Source organism: Homo sapiens, chromosome 22 (assembly GCF_000001405.40).
Source record: "Homo sapiens chromosome 22, GRCh38.p14 Primary Assembly".
Classification (NCBI taxonomy): Eukaryota; Metazoa; Chordata; class Mammalia; order Primates; family Hominidae; genus Homo; species Homo sapiens.
In genome coordinates this window covers 48547874-48558902 of record NC_000022.11, presented here as the reverse complement: position 1 = coordinate 48558902, position 11029 = coordinate 48547874, and the positions used below count along the sequence as shown (strand labels likewise).

Below are 11029 nucleotides of genomic sequence, written 5' to 3'. Positions count from 1 at the left end.
TATTCTCTCACTCCCTGGCAGCTGGCGGAGGCAAGTGAAGCCCAGGAGGTGGGCCCGCCGTTCGCCCAGGCACCTGGCACACGTGGGCACCCAGGGTATCCTCCTGACCTCGTGAACCACCAGCCCTCTGTGGCACACACTCGTGTCACGCCCCTCCCCATCCTGGCCCTTGAACCTGACTGGACCTCGCTGGTCTACAGCCCCTGGACCATGTCTCCGCATTCGAGTCTCCCAGTGGCCACGCCCGGAAGATACTGTGGAGGTGTTCCTGGTTGGCCAAATGAATATTCCACAGCAATGAAGAGACCTCTCCACAGACCACGGCTCCTGAGGCCACGCTCACATGGATGGCAGGAGAGAGACCGTGGCAAACACCCACAGGAGCCCAACTCTCCTTAATCACTTCATTATTGGCTTTGAGGATACGTCCCTGTAAGGAATCTGCTGCTTGAAAATGCAAATGATTATGAGCCCCAAGAACCCAAGAGGTGCGACAGACATTAAAGAGCGTTATGTCAGTTCCAGGGAGGGACGCATTCAAAAACAAGATTTAATTTGTCTATGTGTAAAATGCTAGACTTTAAGAAACACCTAGGGCCAACAGCAAATGAGTGTGTGCCGAGGAAAAGCAGACGATGATTTGCCGGCTCCCAGCAAATTGAACATAAGCTCCAGTTATAATGCAGCCACGGAGAGCGAAGACGCAATAATGACTAGATTGGGATGTTGCGACGGTGGCACTGAATAAGAATGAACTGGCACAGGCCCGGCTTGCTCTCCATCTGGGAGTCCCCATCACCTTCCCTGTTCCCTGGAGGTTGTGCTGATCTTGGTGAGGTGCAGAATCTAAAGGAGACAGGGGAGGGAAACAAGACCACTCCCCCCTCAGACTGGGGCCTCTGCCTGAGCGGGCTCCGTGGCTCCAATCTGTCTCCACCAACTTGTCTCATGGGAAAGGTCCCACCTGCCCCGGCTTAGACACATCCTCCGGTTGTGTCCTCATTGTGACCTCAAGGGACAGGGGTCCTGGGACCCATTTTCAGGGGACATTGCCTTCCAGTGGATTCTAGGGGAGCTGACCTCGGGGAGGGAGCTCTAGGCATGGCCAGAGCCCTCCCTGAACAATGATCGCCCATCACCGCCTGCTAAGGGCAGGTCAGGAAGGGGTGCTGTGGGGGCTGGACCTCTGCCGAGAGTCTGGAGGTGCCCTCCCACCTGCGAGTGGCCGTGGCGCTCAGTGGCCTGTGGCCTGGCATCTTCAGGGAGCCTTAGCTACCAGCTTTCAGTGGAGTGCCTGCAATGCTTGGGCGAGACCAGGCTCCCACTCAGCCTCCTGCAAGGAGCCGCCGTGGTCACCTCTAATCTAACCACCACCTGGGACTGGTGTCCTAGGGTGGCCAGAACAGAACGGCACAGGTGCATCCCTGTCAGCCCTGTCCCCAGCATCGCTCAGGGCAGAAACTCATGTCCTCGCAGCCCTGGAGGCCGGGAGTCCAGGGTCAAGGTGTGGGCAGAGCTGCTTCCTCCCGGCGCCGCCCTCCTCAGCCTGTGGACGCCGTCTTCTCTCTGTGTCCTCACAGGGTGGCCCCTCTGTGCCTGTCCTTGTCCTCATCTCTCGCTATAAGGACACCAGTTATACTGGATCAGGGCCCCACCCTTACGACCCCATTTAACCTTAATCACCTCTTTAAAGAACCTGTCTCCAAGTACAGTCATGTTCTGAGGAGCTGGGGTTAGGACATCAACATACGGATTTTGGGGAGACACAATTCAGACGCTAGCACAGTTCTGATGCCGTTACTGCTGCCGGCCCTGAACCCCAGACCTGGGCGCACTCCCCGCTCCCTGCGGGCCTCCCAACGGTGGGTGCCCCTGGTGACCACGCCAGGCCCGGCTGCAGCCCTCTTCTCCTTTGGGAGGGTTAACTCTCATGAGTGCCATCTGCTTTTCCTCCCAGGACCAAGCAGGCGGGTCTGTGCCCAGTGAGTGCATGAGGACACCACTGTGGACGGCAGGGTGCCTGGGTCTGCATCCCCGGAGCTGGACAGTGCCCCCAAGGGAAGTGAGCATGGGGCCTCAGGGGCTGTGGAGGTTGGGCCCTGAGCAAGGCCATGATCAGGTGGGACCCTGCCTAGGGGGGTGTCCCTGAGAACAGCCTCGAGGGGACCCCACATCCCTGTCTGCCTCACTCCCTCTCGGGTCGGACTGCAGGAACCACCTGGCCTTGTCTGCTGCAGTCACTGCCCCGCCACACCTGTGTGATGTGTGCCCTGCAGACCAGAGCCCCCAGGGACACGAATCCCCTGCTGCCCCAGCGCCTCTTCGGGACACCCCACTTTCCTTTCAAAAATCAAAGGTCTTCCAACATGGGCCTGCCAAGAAGCTTCTCTTCCAGATGAATACAGATGGCAGAGGCTGATTTAAATAAATCTATTAATTATGTGCAGCTTAGCACGCGTGCATATGTGTGTAAGCTGCAGCTCCTAAATAATGTAATTCCGGGAGCCTCTGCATCTATTACATTTAATTGCTTCTCCCTGTGGTGCGCAGGATGGAGATGCAGCCACAACCTCACTAGGTCCCCGGAGCTTGGCAAACCCCAGAGGGGCTGCTCTGCAGGAGGGGCTGACCACAGGGGGCTCTGGGGATGCAGGGCCAGTGAGCACTTGCTGTGAGGGACCCGCCTCTTCTCACAGTCCCCTGGGAGCCTCCCCAGGACAAATTCTTCTCCTCTGCCTGTGATGCCCTCTGTGCCATTGGTCTCGGGTGACATCACCTCCCATCAGTGGCCCAGGAGTTTGATGAGACCACCAATCCCTACTATCCCCCTCCCGGAGTGGGGTTCAGCGTTTAGGGTCTTAGCCTGGTCCATGAATCCCAAAGTCATCAGAAGACTCTGCCCACAGGACAGGACACCTCCAGGGAGGGAGCTAGAACAAGAAGAGGGCCCTGGCTGGGGCAGGGGAGCAGGTGGCAGGGCCTCCACCCCTCACAAGCACCACCCAAGGCCAGGCCCAGCCCCTCCCAGGTCTGTGTACTTGAAGCAGCTGTTCCTTGAGAGATGGCTTGGCAGCCTCCAGCCAGCGGCCACAGCGCCCCCATCCCCACCCCCGTATCTTGCCCGATGCCCTCGGGTAGGTCTCCTGGACCAGCTTCCTGGGCTCCTGTCTCAGGGGATCGGACAAGGTCCCCTCTTCCCTGGGCCTTGCTGATGACGGGGTCACCTGGCTGCAGGAGGCCACAGACCACGGGGTGCCCGTGGCGTGGGGGGTGCACCCCAGGCCACTTCCAGCAGCTTCTCAGTGTTCAGTGGGTTTGCGGATTTTTGTTGTTGTTTTTGCCTTGTCTCCCTCTCTCCCTCTTCCCATAAAGATCCGCACTTCTGAAGACACAGACACGCTTGGAGACCTACGTTGTCAGAGTGAGAGTCAGGAAAAGCCACAGGAATGAGCTGGGAGCCCACGTCCTCCATCAGGGAGCAGCCGCCCTCCCCGGAAATCCCTCGCAGGACACGGTCTGAGCACCAGGGCTGAGCTCCGCTTGCTCTGCTGGTGAGACAGGGGATTGCTCTGAGAGCGAAAGGGAGGAGGGAGGAGAATGCCCAGGCACCTGGGAAGCCGGTCGTGCCGCTTAGGAAGAGCGCTGAGCCCACCGCCAGCCCCATGCCACCAGCCAGTATCCATTCATTCCTTCATTCATTCATCCATCCTCCCTCCCTTCACTCGGCATCCACGGAGCCCCTGTGTGCCAGGCCCTGGGCTGTTTGCTAAGAGACAGTGGTGGGTGGGGCAGGGACAGGTGTCCAGGACTGGGTGGCCCTGCAGTGGGAGTCGTCTGACCTCCTGCTGCCATGACAGCCACTGGAACAGCCTTCTCTTGTCTCCACCATCGGAGATCTCAGAGCCCCAGCCTCAGGGGCTACATTGCCACCCTGGGCCCCCGCCCAGGGACTCCCGAGGACACAGCTTGAAGAGGCTCGTAGGACCCCCTCTCAGGACCACTATGGGGAGAGGAAGCACCTGACCATGAGTGTCCCACTGTCTCTGCAGAGACACTCCTGCAAGCTCTGACACTCGGGGAAAGAGAGACCCACATCTTTGTAAAAACCAGCAGGCTCTTGAGAGGATTATAGGTCTGCAGAGAATCTTAGCATTTCATAATTTTTAAATTATATTCCAGACACCCAGGAAATTTTGAAATAATAATAATTTGGAGGTCTAATCTGTTAAAACAATAGCTTTTAATATTCATTTGTTACTGGCAATAAATGGCTGTAATAACCTGATGATGAAGCTGCTGTGACCTCCGCTGAACCTCAGCAATCTCATTTGCATTCTCATTAAAATGACAGTTTCAGTCTCATTCTTTGAAATCCATAATACCCTCCTTTCCAGAATTTCCAAAGCCTCCCTAAAGAGTAATTAACTCATGTGATTAAAAATGTAATATGTTGGGAACATTTTTTTACTTTATGAAGGTACCAGGTTAAAAGTTTTAATATGCACTGTATTAATCGTAAATCATTTTGATTTTTAAAAAACCCTTACAGAAAGAGAAGTAAATGGGAAAGCTTCATTGTCAATGTTGGATTATGATAATTTCCTTCCTATCCTAATTTTTATTAATGGAAAAAAAATGACGGCCTAAACTAGCCCGTCAAACTTCTGCACCTTCAAAGTCGAAGCCCAGACACCCGGGAGCATTTCCCTGGGGACATTTTTGCCGGGAGCCCTTTCAGAAAGTCTCCAGCCTCTTCCTCCCGATCCTTCAAAGGCTCTCCACAGCCTCATCTCTTCCCTGAGCCCAGGCGGGAGCTGAGCTCTTCTGAGCGGCCGCCCGAGGACCTGGGTTCTGGAAGCGGGAGCAGGATAAAAAGGAAGCCTGTGGTTTGTACCTCATTTGTCGCTTTGGGGGAATTTCCGTATCTTCTTTGATGCTCCCATTCAGTGGCCTGGACAAGCACAGTGTCCACGCTTGGCCAGGACGGAGGCCAAGAGCTGGGCAGGTGGACGGTGATCACCTAATGAGCATCAAACAGCCTCCACTGTCAAGTTCTCGGTTGGATTCCAGGGGCCTTGACAAGCCCTCCCAGCAAAAAGAGGCCACAGGCTGAACAGACGAGGACCGGGCATGCCAGGGCTGCACCCCAGGTCAGGCAGACAGGGAGGGCACCACCAGCCCGGAGAGAGAGCCGTGGGAGGCAGACGGGCCTGCACCACGGCAGGCATGGAGGTATGCTCAGAGACACTGTAGGAACCTTCCAGAACACTGTCTGGGCCCCGGGTGGGGGACAGAGTCAAGGACAGTGGTGCCTGGTGATCTGTCCCCTCCCAGCCCTGCCCCAGGACTCATCCCTGGGACGCCTCCTCACCCTCTCCCACCATCCTGTCCCTGGTGCAGGTCTCCCCATGACCCCATCCTCCTCCTGGGTGTCCAGTGCATGCGGCCAGGGAAGCCTGCATCCTGCTTCCCTCCCTCCATCCTATTCCCTCTGGCCCGGGCGCCTCCGGGCAATCTGTCCTTGGTCAGGGTACTGGGCATGCAGCCAGGAACAGAGCTGAGACCGACCCGTGTCTGTGGGGGCACATGGAGGGCACAGGAACCACTGTCCATCGCACAGAGCCAGGGCATGGGGGCCTCCACGGAGACATAGTGAGCCAGGCAGGAGGGGCACAGAGCGGGGGGCCTGTGGAGTCAAGGTGGTCCAGGAGGGCTCCCCTGACGAGGCGGCATTTGGGCATCTGAGGGAAGCTGGGATCACACAAGTCAGGAGGATGTCTAGAGAGGAAGCTTCCAGAGGAAGGCAACAGCAGGGTCTGAGCTGAGCCCGTGCTGGGTGTGGTGGTGGGAGATGAGGGGTGGGCTCTCGGGGTGAAAGATGCATGAATGAATGAGCAGTAGGCAGACCAATCTCTGCCTGTGACCAGGTGGTTGGGGACGAGCCCCCCTCAGATCAGCCCCAGGTCTGAGTCTCTGGGGTATTCTGCAGGGAATGCAGACAGGGCCGTCACAACAGTGGGAAACCAGGGGCTCAGCACCCAGGGCTGGCTCTGGGCCTCCTCCCTCGGGGTGAGCCCTGGAAGCCCCATATAGGTGCAATCCCAGCTGCCCCTCCTCTTCCCTGGGAGCCTGGCCGGGCCCCTCGGAGGATGATAAATGTTTATTTAAGGTTTTTCCAGTTGTCAGTATGATAAACGGACCCTTGACAAAATCAATGAATCAAGTAAGCTGAGCTAATCTACAGGGGCCCCTCTGGAAGGGGTCTCCCACCCTGCCCGCAACTCCGAGCCCTGCGACGGGGGTTCTAGATGATCGATCCATTTAGGCAGAGCTGGGCATGGGCGTGGGTTCCGCCGGGCTGTGAAGTCTCCATGTCCTGACCCAAGGAGAGCAGGCTGCCCACCTCGTGGCCTGCAGGACCCCGAGAGAGGATGTACACGCTCATAAGGGCTTCCCACAGCAGGCAGCGCTGACAGAGTCAGCCAGCAGCTACATCAGCAGAGGGATTTGTTTCCTAAACGGGACCCCCTGAGAAGGTTTCCTGAGGGCTTCAGCCCATCAGACTTCTGCCACTGCCTCCAGGAAGCCCTCCTCCCTGCCCAGAGCCCAACTCCTGGGTGACAGCAGCCAGGCACCAGGACACCAGCAAGCAAAGGCAGCTGGCCCACAGGAGGCAAGTGTGGACCCTTCTCCACAGCAGAAGAGCCATGTGAGGTCCGCTGTGACTGGTGACTCCTTGGGAGGGGCTCTCTGGTGGTCCCCGGGAGCCCACACAAGGAGGGCTCACAGTGCACAGGCTGCAGCCACACAGCCACAGTGACAGAGCACAGCAGAGGGAGCACTGGAGGACGCTTCCTGCCGGGAGGACAGTCAGAGCTGAACGGCCATCGCAGGGCGTGGGGCCAGCACTGCCTTCCCGCAGGAGCCCGTGCTCTCAATCAGTTTTCCACAGGGCTCCCAACTCCCACCAGGGGCTCAGAGGCTATTCATTTGATCTCACACCTCTGTTACCAACAGCGGCCACACCCACACTTGCCATGGGAAAGCGCGGGGCAGCAGGTGGGTCCTGGGCCAGCCAGGGGAGCGGGCGGGGCAGAGGTGCGGCTCTCCTGGAGAAGGGTCTTTGGGGAGGCGAGAGAAGGCAGCACTTGTCACAGAGTTTCCTTAGCCCCCGTCTCCCCTCCTGCACCTGCTTCCATCACTGCTGCAGACCACGAGAAGGGTGGGTGCCAGAACCCTGCCCCCCTTAGGACCCCATGCACATCGTCACAGGCCCCTCAAGAAAACACTTGCGACAGACCCCAACAGGTCTATATTTAGAGCTGAACTTTAAGCCAAATATCAAGGAGTTCTGGAGCGGAATTCTTGATGGGCTGGGCCCCTTAGTGTGTGCCTGGAAAACCAGCGAGCCGCCATCACCTGGTCCCATCCTGCTCATGCAGCTCCTCCAGTTCTTGCAAGCTTTTCATGGACAGTGGCCTTGCCCAGGAGGTGAGAGGAGAGGATACGGGTCTGCTGTTGACACTGGGGCTAGACGGGGCTGGCACCTGCCAAGACTATGCCAGGCGTCTGGGTCAGAGCCGAGCCGCCCAGCCCTCGGCTGGTGTTTTCCTCCCCGAGCTCAGACGCACTGACCTGGGGGGCTCCCTGCCTTCCAGGGTGCTGCAGGCCCAGCCTTGTCCAGGTCAGGGTCAGGGGCCCTGGGAGCCCAGGCTGAGGGGTCTTCAGCATGGCTGTGCTGTCAGAGGCCACATTCATGCTGTGCCTGCCTCCTGCTCACTGAGACACCACAGGGAGGGACCTCACCCCGTGCCCCAGAGGGGCACGGAGGACTTTGCATGATGTTCCCCAGGGGTGCCCTCAGAGCAGCCCTGGGGGAGAGGGGACACCACAGCAGCCCATCTTATGATGTCCAAATCAGGACCAGGGCCCTCAGAGCAGCCCTGGTGGGGAGGGGACACCACAGCAGCCCATCTTACGATGCCCCAAGCAGGACTAGGAATGTCTGCCTCACCCCCAGGTGACACAGGAACGAAAGGGATCCACATGGTCCCGGGCACGACTCAGGCCTGAATCCTGGAGGCACCGCTCTTTCCCGAGAACAAGAAGGTCAGAGAAAGCTTTCTGGAGCCCAGACACCCGTGGATCAGAGTAGGGGGCCCTGGATCAGGATGTACCTTGTCCGGACTCCACACCCAACCACTGTGTGGTCCCAGGCAAGCCACCTCACCTTGGAGCCGCAGGTTCCAACCTGCAAAGGGACCTTGGGAGGATCCAGCAGCATCAAGTGCGGAAGGCGATGGAACCTGCTAGGAACCGTGGGATGAGGGTAGGGGGCAGGGCATATCTGCTTTGATACAAGACACTCCTTCACACAATGCCGGCATTTCCCAGGGGCACCTGGCTCCGTGGGGGTCAAAGCCCTCACATCTGGTTCCATCCAGATGTGACCTCTTAGCTTACTCCCAGAGAGCCATCCAGGGTCCTGCTGGGCACCTCCGACCAGTCTGTGGGAAAGGTGCATGAGAGGCCCATGTGCCAGCCTGGAAGCCCTTGCCCTCTCATGGCGCTCCTGTCTGCATCTGGCCTCACCTGTGGCCTGCACTGACCCTGTTCTCCCAGGCCTACACCTTATCCCGGCCAGATGCGCCATCTGCCCAGGCCCTGGAGCCAAGCACTCAACTCCTGGAGCCTTCTCTAGCTCTAGGTAGGCTGTGTGTGGAAACAGGGCAGGGCCACCTCGGGTGGACACACACAGGCTGCTACACCCATGCCCAGCATACCCCAAAGTTCCCAGCTTCTGATACAGGCCAGCTTTGCCACATACGAGTCACTTAATGTTCTCAGTTACTGAAACACTCTGTGACTCGGTTTCTCTTTGAGAAGGAGAGGGATGTGACAGTACCTGACAGGGTGGCCTCAGGGATGAGTGCATCATTGCAAGGAAATCATTCGGACCTCGCCTGGTGCAGAGCAAGCTGGCAATGAACACCCAGGACCACAAGTCCAATTCCCGAGGGCGTCTGGCACTGCTAGCGGGGGACTTTGCCTGTTCATCCATCTCCGAACTTAGTCCTCAGACCTGGGCAGGGGCCCGTGCTTGTCCTCAATGTGCACAGTTGCCACAGCTCTGACAACCACTCCAGGCCACACAGCAGTTGGTGTGGAAGATGAAGCCCAACCCGGCACTGCCTGGTCCTGAAGCCCAAAGCCTGGCCCTGGCCCTGCCACACCATCAGGGGCAGTCATCTCCAAAAGCAGGATAGGCAGGACCACTGCAGTTTTACAGGAGCAGGTGGTCCCTTGGGAGGCACCTGCGCCTGCTTTTGCTGAGTCCCTGCATCCTGCTTGGTATTGTCATGGTGTCCCCTTCTCCAAATGCCACCACATGAATACCATGAATAAGATTTAAATTCAAATTAGGGCCACTTTCTGGAATGCATGCAGAATCATTTGCTGCACCAAAGTTCAGAAGAGCACGGATCCAGTACTAGCCACCCATCTCCCTGCTCAGTGCTGACCACCAGCTGCCTGGTGGCGAATGGATTCCATGTCCCTGAAGCTCATATTGTTCCGGGCATTTATTGATGGTCCAGGTAATTCAAACACGCTGATGAGCAGGTATCAACATCAGGCCTGGGCTGGAAGCCCTCTGTGTCTACACACTGCAGACTACTTGGCAATTAATTTTTTGGTGACTGTCTAAAGAGAATCAAGGCAGAGAAATGGGATCATGAATCCTGCCTTTGGCTGGAAGCGAGGCTCATTCCCTTTGAGAAAGGTGTGGTATGTGTTTACTCTTCCTATTTCTACTCAGGAGACAATGTATGATGAAACTGTGTCATTTCATGCCAATGAATTCACATTTTATGTGGGAAAACTCTTCTTTAGGTCAATCTGATCGCTATAAAGAACTTCTCTTTGGCCAAAAGGCTCTTCCAGCATGGGTGTGAAGGCTTCTTGTGATATAATTCCCAAAAAGACAATGAGTTCAGTGAAACCAAATGACTTTAGTCCAGCAGTGGGCCAAGCATTTAATAAGCACCTGCTGTATGCCAGGTAGTATAGGGAACTGGATTAAAGGGGCCAGGAGATAAGAGACTTCGGTTGTTAGGCGACTGTTGGGAAAACTCTCATGCACGCTCTCACCTGCGCTGATGCTGCGCTTGGCCATGTGGCCTGCTTTAGCCAGTGGGATTTTCATGACCTGGAGGGGCTGGCAGTGATGTGGTTCTGAGGCTGGGCCTGCCCCTGTGAAATGCAGCCCTGAACCCAACCCACCACCTGGAGCCCAGCCTGCCGAGAGCAGCAAAGCTCCCCCAGTCCACTCCCCTGCCCCAGAGCCTGGAGCCTGGGGTCCAGTCTGACCCCACTGTAGCTGACCCACAGACCCACGGTCAAAGCCACCACTGCTGACCCAGGGTCCCGAACAGCACTGTGAGGCCCGAGTTTCTGGTTTGTTCCAGAGACAGGCACCCAATCTCAAAAAATATATACTGGTTGGAAACACAAGCTCATGCTAAAAGGCATGGCAGGACGAGTCATCTCCACAGTCGGCGGGGCGAGGGAGCAGGAGGGCAGGGAGATGATGACCCAGAGAGGCGGGCAGCTTCGGGACTGCAGCTGCACATGGCATTTCCAGCCATCCTCCTCGCTACACTCACTTAAGAGAAAGAGCAATCCTAATGGGTGTCAACACCCACATGTGTGCAGCTGGCCACAGAGAAACTGGACAAAGCCCCACGGGGCCAGATCCCCATCAGGCACCCCCGGGCCTCCTGCGCCTGAAGCTGGGCCTGTGCACCTGCAGCACCAGCTGCCATGTTCACTCGGGGGAGGTCCCAGGGTCACCTTCCTCACTCCTGGGACCTCCGAAGACGCAGGCAGGAAGAACACATCACACAACAGGGCAGGACTGGGGCTGGAGGACAGGGCCAGGGCTCGAGGGTAGGTTCTCAGTGAAGACCGCCCTATTTCCACTCTGGCGCTATCACCGGTTAGCCATGGGATGCTGGGCTCAATAGTTAAC

General features: G+C 57.4%; 1 protein-coding gene across 1 annotated transcript in view, besides 2 other annotated features; it reads right to left on the bottom strand.

Annotated features, from left to right (window-relative positions):
* TAFA5 (TAFA chemokine like family member 5) overlaps positions 1 to 11029 on the bottom strand; it is a 262380-nt gene that overhangs the window by 193030 nt on the left and 58321 nt on the right. The gene's annotated exons all lie outside the window — the stretch shown is intronic.
* Positions 500 to 727: a silencer, noted in NCBI's record as "fragment chr22:48953988-48954215 (GRCh37/hg19 assembly coordinates)". NCBI's record gives its function as "represses an EF-1alpha promoter that drives an FKBP-Casp9 reporter gene in an ReSE screen in K562 erythroleukemia cells {active_cell/tissue: K562}" and the evidence as "EXISTENCE:reporter gene assay evidence [ECO:0000049][PMID:32094911]".
* Positions 10337 to 10836: an enhancer, noted in NCBI's record as "H3K4me1 hESC enhancer chr22:48943879-48944378 (GRCh37/hg19 assembly coordinates)". NCBI's record gives its function as "activates a minimal SCP1, AML or CMV promoter by ChIP-STARR-seq in primed H9 embryonic stem cells {active_cell/tissue: H9 hESC(primed)}" and the evidence as "EXISTENCE:reporter gene assay evidence [ECO:0000049][PMID:30033119]".